The sequence below is a fragment of the Homo sapiens genome, chromosome 9 (assembly GCF_000001405.40).
Source record: "Homo sapiens chromosome 9, GRCh38.p14 Primary Assembly".
In the NCBI taxonomy this organism is placed as follows: Eukaryota; Metazoa; Chordata; class Mammalia; order Primates; family Hominidae; genus Homo; species Homo sapiens.
In genome coordinates this window covers 99,052,099-99,067,108 of record NC_000009.12, presented here as the reverse complement: position 1 = coordinate 99,067,108, position 15,010 = coordinate 99,052,099, and the positions used below count along the sequence as shown (strand labels likewise).

At 45.3% G+C, this 15,010-nt stretch overlaps 1 protein-coding gene across 1 annotated transcript in view; it reads right to left on the bottom strand.

The window, feature by feature from the left end:
- COL15A1 (collagen type XV alpha 1 chain) overlaps positions 1-15,010 on the bottom strand; it is a 126,881-nt gene that overhangs the window by 3,679 nt on the left and 108,192 nt on the right. Inside the window, exons 31-40 of the mRNA NM_001855.5 lie at positions 14,676-14,721; positions 12,453-12,533; positions 11,958-12,007; positions 11,737-11,847; positions 10,705-10,849; positions 7,156-7,220; positions 5,010-5,138; positions 4,805-4,864; positions 4,000-4,059; positions 42-227 (exon numbers count right to left, since the gene is read on the bottom strand). Coding sequence (NP_001846.3) covers positions 42-227; positions 4,000-4,059; positions 4,805-4,864; positions 5,010-5,138; positions 7,156-7,220; positions 10,705-10,849; positions 11,737-11,847; positions 11,958-12,007; positions 12,453-12,533; positions 14,676-14,721 — 933 coding nt within the window. The remainder of the gene's footprint in view (positions 1-41; positions 228-3,999; positions 4,060-4,804; positions 4,865-5,009; positions 5,139-7,155; positions 7,221-10,704; positions 10,850-11,736; positions 11,848-11,957; positions 12,008-12,452; positions 12,534-14,675; positions 14,722-15,010) is intronic.

Below are 15,010 nucleotides of genomic sequence, written 5' to 3'. Positions count from 1 at the left end.
CAATGCATGCAGAAGGCAATGGGAACCATATTTATTTTTACCTTGAGGTTCACTATGGGAAGGCTGTATCTCTCTGCTTTCCTCACAATGGTGGACAGATCTTGCAAATGGGAAGATAAGAATGCTCGGTAGGTGGACAACAGTCCTGCAGCTCTGGCCTGCTTGAAGCACTGAAAATCAGCTCGAATGTCCCCAGAAAATGGCATGTTCAGAGCAGCCAAATGCAGCTGAAAAATGTGAGACAAAAGAGAGCAGTCAGAATCAAAGGCAAACTCCAGCCCCCAGAACCATCTCACATTCCTGCAAAGATTCCAGACTTCTTAGGCTGGAAGGCACGTTGGAGGTCATTTTATTCAATCCCTCCCTGACATTGGAATTACAGTCTCTGCCTGACCATTTCCGGGGAAGGAGAGCTATGGTCTCCCAAGCAGCCTGTTTCAGCTCTCTGAACAGCTCTAAGTGGTAGAAATGTCTTCCTTAGGTGAAAAAAAAAAAAAAAAAAAAAAAAACAGAACAAAATATTGCTTGGACCAAATAAAGAACTTCAGGGATCTGAATCTCGGAATCCACCTGCAGGCCATAAGTTTGAGACCTCTGGGTCTGTGCAGGGGTTTTAAGCTGGCTTTGGCCCTGGATCCCAGAGCTTCTCCCAGCTATCTGCCTGCAGCCCTTTCTTCCATCTCCTGGATAGGCCTGGGGCTGATCACATGAGGGATCTGGGAGAAAGCCATCGAAAGAAGGGTATGGCACCTATGACTAAGACTGCTGAGATAGACCCTTCTGGAACTAGGGGTCTTATAGTAATTCCAGCTTCACATCCCTGCTATCTTGGTCAGCAGCCAAAATAAAAACCAATCCGTAGTCTATTTCTTCCACACTTTCTCTCCCAAAACCCAGCCTCCTACTACTGCCCTCTCTCAGCCTTTCTGCCACACCCTCTGGAATGCATTCCATAATCAAGGAACACTCATCTCCCTGCCTCCCATCAATCTCATCTCGGGGGTAACTTTTATCTCATCAACTTAGAGCTGAGAGGCTGGTGCAGGACCTGGGTCCAAGTTACCAAAAAGGAAAATATTTTTAAATATCTTAAGCCAAAGGACATGAAATGAGGCTCAGGCGGTGGGGCAGGAGGCGGCCAGTGTTTCTCTCCTGGTTTCTACCCCGCCTCTCAGACCTGAACAAAGCCTCTGTGTGTCCCAGTGACCAGGATCACCATGGTGGTCTTCTGCTTCTCCAGCTTCCAGCCAGTTGGCCACAACTGGCCATGAGCTACAGTGAGTGTCCAGACTGGCCCCAAGCAGCCCTTGCACATCTCTGGATATTTTTCTCCATTCACCACCCCTTTCCTTCCTGCAGAGGACAGACCCCAAGGCTGCCACCTGCTCCAGTCTCTCTCTTTTTATTCATCCTGGTTCTGTCTTGACCACCATACTAGATGGAGGTCCAGGTCAAGCAGCATCACACCCCATCCCCATCTCCTTCCTGCCCCGCACTGAGCCAAGGCTTCCCCAGCAGGCCTCCCAGTGGCTAGCATTTTATGCTCTACATTCCCAGCCATTAGGGTAAGAGGGAGCTTTAGCATGCTGCCCACCCACCACAATCACAGGCAGGCCACCAGACTTCCACCTCCACATATACACCCTGACCCTTTGATGTCCTTGCCATCTGACTATACTGCCCCCACCCCCCGTCTTCTTCCTCATGCATCTGGAGACTCTGGTGCCTGAGGGAAGAAGCCCTATGGTCTCATCATCTTCCAACCAGTGTGCTTTGGGGCTACATCAGAGTGCATCACACGAGGCCTTGATGGAATGAGGCTTCCCCAATGCCAGGGGCCACCTAAGAAAGGCACAGGCAGGGGGCAACTGCAGGGCTTCCTTGCCACCTCTAATCCCACCAAGCCCTACTGTCCTTTAGAGAGACACAGAGAAATGTCTGAAATTACGGTTGTTTCTGAATGACGAGATTGGGGGTTTTTGTGTTCTCATGTTTGTATTTCTCTAATTGCTGGAACATTTTTATAAAATGACAACATTTTTATATTGTACTTTTAGGAAGACAGTAATGTTATAACACTCAAAATGTTAAAATTGCTATTTTGTGGATGGTTGTAGTTTTGATAAAATTGTAGGTGTGTTACTATTTTCTTCTCCATTCTTTTCATGCATTGTTGACATTTTCTGCAATGAATACGTATTAGTTCTGAATTTATAAAATACCATTTAAAAAATCCTTTAGCTACTGCCCTAACTTTGGGGCTTTTTGAAGGGTTACTGACACTCACATTTCTCTTCCTTCACTTCCCACTGACTCTTCAACCAACTAGAATCTTTTTGGCTACTAAATGCTTTGCTCTAGTTTCTAAATTTGAAGGACACCTTTTGGTTCTTCTTATGAATTTCCTGGCAGCCTTTGACACTGTTGGCTACTACCTTGCTTGGCTTGCTTTCTTCCTTTCTGGCTATGGCTTCTCAGTTTCTTTCTCATATTTCTCCCATCAGTTCCTTTTCAGTTTTGCTCCTCATAGTCTAATCCCTTCTGACTGTATAGATTCTCTTTTGGGAATCCAACCAGCCCCGTAGTAATTGCATGGCTCATCTACAGCCAAGATCCCACTGTGGGGTTTCAGACCTTCAGAACCTATTCCTTCCTGGTAGTCTCCACTCAGGTTTCCTCCAGGCACCTCAGACTCACCATGCTCCAAATTAGTTCCTCCTTGGTCAATAGCAGCACAATAGAAAATGCCCCCACAATCCCTGCCATAAGGAGTGGCCTTAGACCTTCAAACTCATTCTCCTGGTAACTCTTGATTGGGCTGGGAGTGGGCAATTGACCCAAGACAGACCATATAAACTATCTCTCCCAAGACTCTGAACTGAGTCAGTAGTACTGGGGTCAGCAGCTGTAAGATCACACAGACTTAGGGCAAGAATCAGTGCCAGGGTGACCCAAAGCTGTGTGCAAGCTCATGTCACCTATATATGTGTTTTGGGGTGAGGTTGGGAGGAAGAAAGACCCTTTCAGAAGGTGGTCTATAGAGAGAGCAAAGCAGACTAATAGAGACAAGAGTCCCAGGCCTGGCTGTTCTTCCTGTGATGGAGTTCCATGAGGTTTCTATGCTGATTTAAACGAGATCTTTACTTAAGCTAGCAAAGGAATAGAGAGACTTTCTAATCCCAGCAATGAAACAATCCCTGGAAAGGAAACTGTCACCACTCAATCATCCAAGCAGAAACCTGGGCATCATTCTTGACCTTTCTCATCTTTAATGCGCCATATTCAATCAATGACCCAATTAGTCACTTCTGCTTCCTTCATGTCTCTCCAATTGCCCACTAGTCTATGGGCTCACTGCTGTGATTCTAGTTCAGATAACACAGGAGTCACCTAACTGGCCTTTGGACCCCTGCTCCTGTCCCTTCTGATTAATCTGCACACTGTAGCCAAGGTAATTTCTGAAACACTAGTGTTGTCATACCTGTTTCCTGCTTTAAACCCTTCTGTAGCTCCCCATTGCCCACAGAAAATGGTCAAACTTTTTGGCTTGGCTTGCAGACCCTTGAAACCTAGCACTTGCTTTGCTGACTTCCACAGACTAAATGTCTCCCTTTTCTGCCTTGAACTCTACTCTTTTGCCTGTAATTTAATACTAGCAATTACAGGAATGCACAGCCCTTCCCCTTACCTCCCTCTATTCCATCTTCCCTTTGCCTCTCTCCCACCTGGCTCACTCCCGAACTCAGCTGTCCTTTGGGTCTTAGTTTGGAGGTAACCTCCTCCAGGTAGACGTCTCTGCCCTCCCTTATACCCCCAGCACCCTGTGCTTGGTTCACCCAAACAACTTACCACACTGTATTGTAATTCTCTGTTTTTTGTTTGCCTCTCTCACTAGTCTATAAGTATCATGATGGTAGGAACTGTGTACTAAGCATGAGACCTAGCACTTAGCAGATATACACTCAGTATTTGAAGATTAAATGTATAAATTGTACTTACAGCAGGCTTCTCATAATTGGCACTTGAAATAGGGTTTGGTGGAGGCAGAAGCTGATGTGGCTGTTATGAAAAGGAGGAAAAGAAACAGTTCTGAATATGCATTCAATCTGTTCTTCAGAGTGTATTGAGGTGCAAGTGCAATGTTTCTTGAGAAGATGCTTTAAATAATTTGCCATTGTCTGTAACTGTGACTCTTAACTGTAAAGAGTTTCATGACCTGCTGAAGAAATCATCTTCAGAAAGGGAGAAAATGTTCTCAAGAGTTTTAAAAAGAGCACTGAATCAAGGAAGGGCATTCTTTTTGATAAACCCATGTTTAATCACCAACTCTTTCACTTAATAGAGAAAGCTACCTCTTCAGAGCCTCAGTTTCATAATCTGCAAAACGGGGATGATAGTACCCACCTCAAAGCATTGCTCTAGGGCTAGAAGATGGACAATGCCAGTTGCCCATGTTCTTATGAGGCAGATGGTGCCAAAAATTAAAGGAATCTTCTAGATTGCTTATACCAACCAATGATTCCACAGATGAACAAACTGAGGCCAAGATAGAGGAAGCCCTCTGCCCAAGAAGATTTGGCTACTACATGGGAACAGCAGGTCTCCAGCCTCTGGATCTAGTTATTCCTCCGCTCTACTGTGGGAACCTCCTGTTAGCACCCATTAATTTCTAGGATTTCACCAGATACTAAACCGTGCACAGCTGACTGTCCAGAGTTTGGAGAGCTTGGTGCTAGATACCAAGGAGGACTCAGGAAATGCTGATAAATGAATGCATGAGCAGTCCAACAGGGTAACTACTCACGTTGCTGGAAAGCGCAGGGGGTGGAGGGCTGTCGGCAGGAATGGGGATCAGTTCTCCCAGCTTTAAGAAAAACAGTACATTGAAATGAAAGATCAATTACAAACTTCTCCCATTTCAAAACAGAAAAAAATGGCATTTATGGGAGTAGATTATTATTTTTAGAGGGTATTTGAAGGCAGTGTGTTAAAGGAAGTTTAGAAATTACCTGTAATTTTTTCCAGCCATCTCTAACACGAATGAAAAACTCAGTGCTGTCCCTCAGGTAGATGAATGTTCCTTCTATAACCAAATGCGCTTTCTGCAGCATGTCATCCATGTTGCTGAATGCTGTGACCTGTCAGATCATTTAAATTCCAAACACTGCCATTATCATTAGAGGAATGGCACCATCTGATAACCTGGCCTCTCTGTAAAGTCAACTAGGAGCCGTCCCCAGATACTCAATAAAGAGGCTTGTTAATGTGCCAGATAGAGGTATATACCTTCATTAGTAACTAAAGGGCATTCTTCTTGATAAAACAAAAACATGTATACTTTGAAACACAAATCTAACTTATAATAAATGAATTAAAACAAAAATGACAATATTATGTGAGTATAAAGACATTTACAAATTGTCAATGGAGTTATCTTTGTTTTGGTTTGGGTATTAGCAAAAGCACTGGTAAGTTTTACCACTTCTATTTTTTTAAGCTACTTGGTGGCACTAACATGGTTAAATGGTGTTACTTCATGCTGGTCCTTGAAGAGTTTCAAATTTTTCATTTGGAATAAGAAAGGCAAGCAAGTGAGCAACTATACTTAAGGTCTTAAATCTTTTTTGTCTAGCTTGGTAGTTACATTAAATGCATGATAGAAAATGGAGGTCTGTAATTTCTCTGCCTAGAAAAGTGCCAAAGATTAGACAGCCATTTGGCATATCTAGAAGCACATACAGAAGCTACAAAAATCTATTGAATAGCATCAAATCTCAAAGAAATAACGGCCAAGAGAGTTTTTATTTTTCATTGTAACTGAGAAAGATTATAAAATATTAATTTTCACCTAGCCTTGAAGATAATGGCTTTGTGCATCAAAATGACTTAGATATCCCCAAGGGAACCAAATATCAGAATTCCATCATATGTAGGACAGTTCTTTCTTTTGGCAGCCAAATTTTGCAACTAACATCCAGCAAAGATCAAAGAGCATTTTTGGACTCCTGACATCCTTGTGAAGTATTTGTCCATTTTTCTGTGCATTACAGTAATCTTGGAGTGCTATGTCTTGTTCCAACGAACTGCAGGGTAACGAATGTGCCAGAGATGTTCTTTGGCAGAATGGAGAAGACTGAATTATCCAAGTAAATCTGACCAGCACAAGGACCTGTTGTAACATTGTTTATGCTCTTGGGCTTTTGTTGTTTTGTTTTTTCTTTTTTTTCTAGAGATGGGGTATTGCTTTTTCACCCAGGCTGGAGTGCAGTGGCACAGTCATGGTTCACTGGAGCCTCGACTTCCCAGGCTCAAGTGATCCTTAGCTTCTCAAGTAGCTGGGACTACAGATATGCACCACCACACCCAGTTAATTTTTACATTTTTCTGTAGAGGCAGGATCTCACTATGTTGCCCAGGCTAGTCTTGAACTCCTAGACTCAAGTGATTCTCCTGCTTCAGCCTCTCAAAGTGCTGGGATTACAGGAGTGAGCCACCGCACCCGAGCAGGTTTATGCTTTTTGAAATACTATTATTGGTGGCCAGGCGTGGTGGCTCGTGTCTGTACTCCCAGCACTTTGGGAGGCCAAGGTGGGAGAATCACCTTGGTGGCCCATGAGTTCAAGGCCAGCCTGGGCAATGTAACAAAAACCCTGTCTCTACAAAAAAAAAAAAAAAAAAATTAGCCAGGTGTGGTAGTGTGCATCTGTAGTCCCAGCTACTCTGGAGGCTGAGATGAGAGGATTACCTGAGCTCAGGGAGGTTGAGGCTGCAGTGAGCCGTGATCTCACCACTGTACTCCAGTTTGGGTGACAGAGTGAGACCCCGTCCACCCCTCATCCAGCAAAAAAAAAATATATATATATATATATATATAAAAATATATAAGTAATATGATTGGTTCTTGTTATAACTTAGTCAATTAAGGATTCGAATGGTGGAACTTACATATACATGATTTTGTTTTTTCACGTCTTTTTACTTAATAAGTCATCCAAATAGATAACAAATCCCTTCTACTATTTATGGAATTGCACCAAGCCTACTATCATGAAGGCCTGATCCCCAAGGGATGTCAGACACAGGAGATCGTAGGCAGAGTTTTAAGTATATCTATCCCAAATGGAATGATGACTACACACTGATGATAATACTGACCAGGTTTCTGGATCCGGGAAGCCCTGGCTGTCCTGGAGGGCCAGGGGGACCTGGAAGGGCCACAGCTAAGACAAAACAGAAAAGAGAAGTTACACAAAAACCACACTCTGAAAAATGTCTGAGGTATCAGCTGACTCCCGGAGAGAAGTGTGTTCAACCCCATTCACAGCGCCACAAAGCATCCCAACTTCCACCTGTATCTTGGGTGCTGTGCCCCCAGCGTGTGACTTAGGCCACATTGACTGGTTCAGGGAAGAGCTGGGATTCTTGATTGTTACCCTGGATGAAGCCATGGCTAGTGCTTTTCCGTTTCATAAGTGAATCAATTCCTTTTGTGGTTGTTTTATAAAAGCCAGCTTAAGTTGAATATTTTGTCACTTGCATTCAAAAATGTCCTGACTCATATAACTTATTTCACCCAAGAGACAAGCATGTGACACTGAACAGAGGAAGCAGGCTCAGAAAGAGGAAGAGAAGGCTCTAGGGAGTGGGAGGAGACCAGGGTGGTGCAGTGACAGTAGCCCTGGCCTTGGGGCCAGAGACATGGACTCAAGTCCTTAAGTTTGTCCATTCCTAGCTGTGTGATCTCGAGGAAACAGCAAGCTCTCCAAAGCTGTTTCCTCATCTGCAAAATGTAAAATAGGCATTTCTTCTTCCCTGGGCTGCGGTGAGAACTGAGTGCTTTGAAAATTGTACATGTACAGCATTCATCCGGCCAGGAGCTCTTAGCTTTTGAAGAGTCACAGTGCCCTTAAAAATCAGATCAAGGTTAGTGCCCTCTTTCCCAGAGAAATGCACACATAATTCTATAAAAAAATATTACTGGGATGACAAATCCTGGAGGTATATCCTTGAACTCTCTAGGAGTCTATGATTCCTCAACTGAAAAGCCCTTACTTTAGGCAAACATAAAGTAGTATAATTACAACTATTCCTTTGGCTGTTCTTCTACCTCTCTCATCCTCTGCTCACCCTACCCCCGACAACTCCTCCAAATCTGCCAAGCTCTTGGCAGAATTAAGGGTGTTTTTACAAGCCCCAGTAAAATTATACAGTCCTTCAGGTCGTTGCAAGCAAATGTTCAGTTCCAACATAGGACTTGAACACCCACACACAGGTGGCAAATGTCTAGTGGATAGAGGGCCAGTGGACTCGGATTTGGATCCCAGCCATGCCTCCTAATAGAATTTGTGACCTCAAGTAAGTCTCTTCACCTCTGTGAGCTTCAGTGTCTTCATCCGTGAGATGAATTTTATAATAATATCTGTTTTATCTTCCTCCCAGGGTTGCTGTGAAGACTACATGGGATAATGGCCATGAAAGTGTTTTGTAAACTGAATTGCTATACATTATGTGAGAAGCAATCCTTGCTCAATGCAGCAAGGCATCCCGGCAGCCCTAATGTAGTGTTGCTGTGGACAACAGTTTTTCTCCACCTTGCACTCACCCTGTAATATGCCTCCACCTCCTGTAGTCCTACTCCTCCCTCATGGCTGTGTGGGCACCTGTGGTTCCATACACTCGGCACCTTCTTCCTTTGTAGGACCAGTGTCCTCATCTCCTTCTCTTGGGACCTTCCCTTCACCTCTACAACCATTTGGTTCCAGAAAGAGCTACCATGTTCTCATGTGATCCGACCTCCTGGTCATAGGTGATTTGTCCAAGATTGGGTACCTCACCCAAGTCAGGCCCATCAGGACCCTTCTCTAGGACTTCCCCATCCCAGGACTTTTCAAACTAAAATAGTAAAAGAAGTTCAAGATTTCTAGCTGACAGTGGAAGCTGTAAGTTGTCAGTAACCATATTTCCCGCTGTGCAGAGGATGTGGTTTGTGGTGAGGAAGCGTGAAACTGCATGCAGAGAGAAGCCGAGACAAGAGATGGCCAGAGAATCCTTGCAGGGGTTGAGTCCCTGGCTCTGGCTGTTCCTGAGGTCCAGCTGTTTATCTACCTCTCCCACAAGTTGACTGTTCACTCCCTCCTTCACACCCAGTACATTTCCCCTTTGCTTGAGCTACTTTGAGTTACGTTTCTATCACTTGCAGCCAAAAGATCCAAGGCTAAGTCAAAGCCCCAGCCCCAAAGTCACCTCCTGTGTAAAGCTCTCCTTATGCCAAGGACTCTGTAGGTCTCTTTCCAGGTATGCTTCCACCATACCTGGCTCCTGCCAAGCCAAACAACAAAAAAGTATGCCTTCATGCTATTATTGCTGCTATTATTGTCTCCTCCAATGGACATAGTAGAAATAACACAGGCTTTGGAGCTACACTGCTCTGGGTCTGAATCCTGTTGGTGTCACTTATTAGCTGTGTGACCTTGGAAAGGTTCCTAAATGTCTCTGGGCCTCACTTTCCTTACCTGTACAATGGGGATGTTAATGCTTTTTTTAAAGTGTTGTTGTGAGGTTTCAATAAAATACCATAGCAAAGTGATTAGCAAAATGCCTGGCATCTGATACATGCTCATTACATAGAGATTTTCTTTAATTTTGCCAGTTTTGCATATGAGGAGGTGAGGCTCTAAAGGATGAATAGATTTTTATATACAGAGTTCCAGTCACTGCTGGTCATTAAGACAGGTTCTCACGCCCCTAAGGCATTGACAAAGCAGCCAGGAAGTTTCCACTCACATGTGAAAAGATGCTCAACATCATTAGTCATTAGGGAAATGCAAACCAAAACCACAGTGAGATATCACTTCATACCAAGTAGGATGGCTATAATCAAAAAGATACAATGAGGATACCATAATATGGGAGGAGAAATTGGAACCCCCTCATACACTGCCACTGCTGATGGGAATGAGAAATGTTGTGACTCCTTCGGAAAACAGTCTGGCAGTTCCTCAAAAAGTTAAACATAGAGTTACCATATGACCCAGCAATTTCTCCTACGTATATACTGAAGAGAACGGAAAACATGTTCACATAAAAACTTGTACACGAAAGTTCATAGTAGCATTATTCATAATAGCCAAAAAGTAGAAACAACCCAAATGTCCATGAACAGATTAATGAATAAACAAAATGTATATCCTATACAATGCAATATTATTTGGCCACAGTAAGGAATGAACTCCGTGCTGCAACATGGGTGAACCTTGAAAACACTGTGTTAAGTGAAAGAAGCCAGACTCAAAGGGCCATATATTATATGATTCCATTTATATGAAATGTCCAGAATAGGCAAATCTGGAGACAGAAGTAGATTCATGGTTGCCCAGATCTGGTGGAGGAGAGGGAAAGAGAGAAAAGAGAACAACTGCTAATTGGTATGAAATTTCTTTTTGGTGTGATGAAAATGGTCTAGAATTAGACAGTGGTGATGACTGCATAACTTCATGAATATATTAAAAACTACTGGATTAGACACTTTAGGTGGGTGAATTTTATGATGTGCAAATTGTATCTCAATTAAAAAAAAAAGAAAGAAGGCGGTATCCAGGAAAGCCCTCTGTTAGGCAGTGCAGCTGTGACAAGCCACCCAGATGCTGTGACCTTGAACACAATGGTAGGGACAGCATGAACAAGGGCACTGTTTACGGCACTAACCTGCTCCCAGGATAGCTGGAGGTCCTGGTGGCCCCGGGGGCCCCGGTGGCCCAGGATCACCAGGTCTTCCAAAGCCAGGTGGCCCAGGCAGACCAGGAGCACCTGGGGGTCCTTGGGGCCCAACGACTGTCTCCCCTTTTTGGCCCTGTCAAGGCAAGCACACAATAACAGAGAGAAAGCATCATTCATCACTCGAAGTCCCATCTAGTCCTTTTATGAGAATATTTAAAAGAAATCAATAAACACCAGCTATTGTTATTACTATCCTCAATCTTGGGCACAATTCAAGGTGGGGTAAGGCCTCCAAGATGGCAGCCCAGTCATTATGTTGAATGATTCTACAGAGAACCCCAGAGACTCCTGGAGGCAGAAGGGACCTTGGAGATCATCTAGTCTAGCCTTTGCATTTCACAGATGGAGACACTGAAGCCCAGAGAAGTGAAAGGACTTGCCCAAGATCATGAAGCAAATTAGATGCAGAGCTAGAGGCAGAACTCTGATCTCTGGCTTTGCTGGTTCTACCCTCACAGTGAGCTCTGGGACCAAAGGTCAATGATCTAGTCATATTCTTGTTGGGGGCACAGCTTGACTTTCTCTCCTTTCACCTGGAAAAATCTCTCATCCTAGGAAAACCACACCTATCTAGGAGCTCCTTTGATAAAATTTCAGAAGAATCAAACAGCTCCTCTAAAAATATCTCCTTACCTTCCATTCTGCTTCTGTTATCTGATGCATTCACCATTAATCATTCTTTGTGTGGAGTGAATTTTCCACCAATGTCATGAATAAGGCAGTGTGACTAATGGCCTGGAAGTTACCTACCTTCATGTGGCCTTGACCAGCTACCTTCTCTCCAGGGACCTCAGCCAACCTGCCCATCAATCAACAAGGATGGGGAAAGAGCTGGCTAATCCCCAAGCTCTGCCTCCAGCTTATAGTACAATGACTAGCCCTAACTGCCTAGTCCCATTGGGGGCTTCCGGGAAAGCTGTAAGTCTTTGGGGTAGATGACTTGGAGGGGTCTCTACTCACAGCCGGGCCTGGATTTCCGGGCAGGCCTGGAGGCCCAGACATAAGGAAGCTGCCATTAATGTCTCCTTTTTCTCCTTTTTCACCTTTGAACCCCTTGTCTCCATTCTCCCCCTGGAAGCAGAGAACACAGGAATATTTCAGTAAGAGTGGGATGAACTCAGTCTCTGACATAAACCAAAACCTGAAAAACACAGGCCAAATATTGGTAGAGAAATACTCACCTTCAAGTTGTTCAGAAAGTGTCTCAGGTAAGCTAGATCAAGTGGAGGACCTGAAAAAGAAATGCTTCGTAAAATTCACGATTGTAATTTCAGAAATTTTAAAATAAAAGTCTCTAAGTTGGCAACCACAGTTACATCTTAGTGGATGTGAGCCTGCACTGGGTTGGCTAACAGAGTCTGCTTGGAAGCAGAAACAGGTGCTAGCTACTGTGGGCCCATCAACCCAGACACTGTGGGATCCCAGGTAGGTCCCTGGCCTTCTTTGGACATTGTTTTGCATATAAAAGATGAATGATTGGATTTTCTGGTCTCTCTTGACAATGTTCCCTATTGGACATGCCAGGCCCATGCTTGGTTTTCACTAGAAACCAGTGGAGCCTGTGGTCAGGGTGGAATGTCATTAGTCTTACCCTCTGGCTAGGTCACATTTCTCAGTCGCATTTGTTCTCAGGAGCAAAAAATCAAAGGCAAGATTGAGAACAAGAGCTGGAATACCTGGTGGTCCCTGGGCTCCCTGGTCGCCTTTTTCTCCCTTTGAGCCAGGAAGACCCCAGGATCCTTTCTCTCCTTTAACACCTGCCACCAAACACATACATGTTAAAAAAAAATGGAAAATCACCTTCTTTCTATATAAAACCTTTCTGAGACAGGTTTTCAAACTAAGCTCATTTAGCAAAGTCCACTCAAACAAAGCCCTCCTGAGAGATCAGCAAGTGTAAAATCATAAAGAGGGCAGAGGTAGATGCTTCAGACACATTCTCAACCTTGAAAAGCTCAGTCTACTGGGAGACAGACAGAGCTCACAGTAACGCAAGGCAAGATGAAATATGTGCTCTCACTGAGGTTCCAGCAGCGCATCCCGTGAGTGCAGCAGAGGCTGCGGCTAACCCTGGCTTGGTCAGTGCCACAAATGAAGACAGAGACTCAGCACCATGTCAATCTTCCAGACTCATCTCATCTAGGCCTGTGTAGCATGGGGTTGTAAGGGAACAGGAGGGCTCTCCCAAGAGTGCCCGCACAGGACAACCAAGGGCGCTAAGTTTTCTACGTACAAAGTTGTGAGAATGCCCACCATGAAGTGTTGTACATCCCCACAGGACTAGTGAGAAACACTGTTTCTGCAGAACTGGCATTCCATCCCCACCTTTCCCCTCAACTCTTTATATGGGAGGGGGCATGGAGGAAAGCCTTTTGGGAGATCACTGCTTGGGAAGGGAAGTGGTTCCCTTTCCCCACCTTGATGGGTAGGGTGGACGCTAGGTCTTTGAATTCCTCGTTCCCAAGAGGTGTGACAGATCAACCCACCAATGGTCTTGAGCCTAGAGATGGGGCCACAAAGTGTAGATGAGGCTAGCGACTCAGGCTTTCTCAATGAAGGGGAGGGAATATGAGCATCACAGGAATGATGGTGTCAACAGGGGGTCAGTAGGGAGCGGCAACTACATCTGTCGAGGCCTCTCCAACCCTGGGAATGCTGTGTGAGACCAATGACCTGCGCAGTGGGGCCCATGGGGCCTCCTTCACCCACACTGAGCCCACAGACAGCAGTGATCAGAAGAGAAGACAGCAAGTGCACCAGCACCAACCGGAGCAGTAGTAGCTGCACACAGTAAGCAGGATGATTGCTCACTAGGAGCTGTCACATCCAGAAAGATCTGTTCCCTCCCCCTCCTTCCAGGGGAGGCTCACAGGGAAGAGGAACAATTGGGGAATCTGAGAAAACAAATCCAGCTCCATCCCCTGCTCCCCAAGGTCCACCTTGCATCAGGGGAAAGGGGAGCCTTGAACTGAATCTAAGCATAGAGTTTGCAAACAGGCTGGGCTTGGTAAGCAGAAGTGACAGAAAAACCACAGGGCTAGATATCATCAGGGAGACCACCACCTCGTGGGCCGGGGTGACACAGCCAAGCTGAAAGTGAATATTGGAGGAAAAAGACCTTCCTCTATTTAAACCCCAAGTGGCGTGACAGGGTGTGTGAGGACAGGGGGACCAGAGTGACTGCTCACCTGCAGGCCCCATCCCCTGGCCTGTGCCTTTCTGATGTGCCATAGCAAAGCTCCTGCATGTGGCTATGAATATGCTGACATTTACTACTCAAACCCTCTGAGCCAGCATTTCTCACACTTTGCTGTGCACTCACCTCACCCGGGAGATGGTTAAAACACGGGTTCTGATTCAGCAGGTCTAGGGTGGGGCCTGAAGTTCTGCATTTCTAACAAGCTCCCAGGAGATGCTTACAAAGTTGCATGGACACCGAGGCAAGGGTCTCCTGAGCTCCCACGGCCCTTCCCTGATCAGCTCTTAGTATAATGCACTATAATTGTTTTTAAAGTAGTTTCACTTAACAGGTTCCAAGAGCCTGAGAGGCAGGAACAGCGCTTCTCAGGCTCTTGGAATCTGCCTCAGCCCAGTGCAGATCATACCAAGTAAGGAATAGGCATCAGTGAATGTTTTATGAACAAATGAACAATTGAAAGAACAGAGTGCTTGTTGCCAACTAGGAGGCTCAGCTAAGATGAGCAGAATAGGCACATGTGTGACCAAACCAAAGAGAGGTGCACAGCCCCACAGCCTTGGCTCAGCTGCCATCCCCACCCCTACAGCATCCAGTTAGACCTTCCTGACCACCTAGTCTGCGCCCTGCACTGGGCAAAGGAAAACCATCTTCCTCAAGGAGATGTCCCAGAGAAACAAATGATGAAGAAGGGAGTGTATACCGTGAAAAGTGATGAGCTCTGGACTCCCAGGATGAGCAGTATCAACCTGGAAAGAGAGGAAGGCCAGGTTAGGCACTGCAAGCTCTGCCGTGGTGTTTGCAGAAACAGGCAGCCACTGTCCCGGGGGCATGTGACAAAAGAGGCAATGCCACAGAGTCAGGCCTTCCTTTGGCTCTGGAGTCCCCCAAAGCCCTGAGTCCCCAGGAGTTGTCAATGCACAGACATCCCAGGCTTTAAACTGGGAGACCCATGATGTAGTTGAGCTGGGGAGACAGAGCTGAGGCCTAATGGCCAAAAAACTCAGCCATAAGGAAGCCCAAAGCTTTAAGACAACA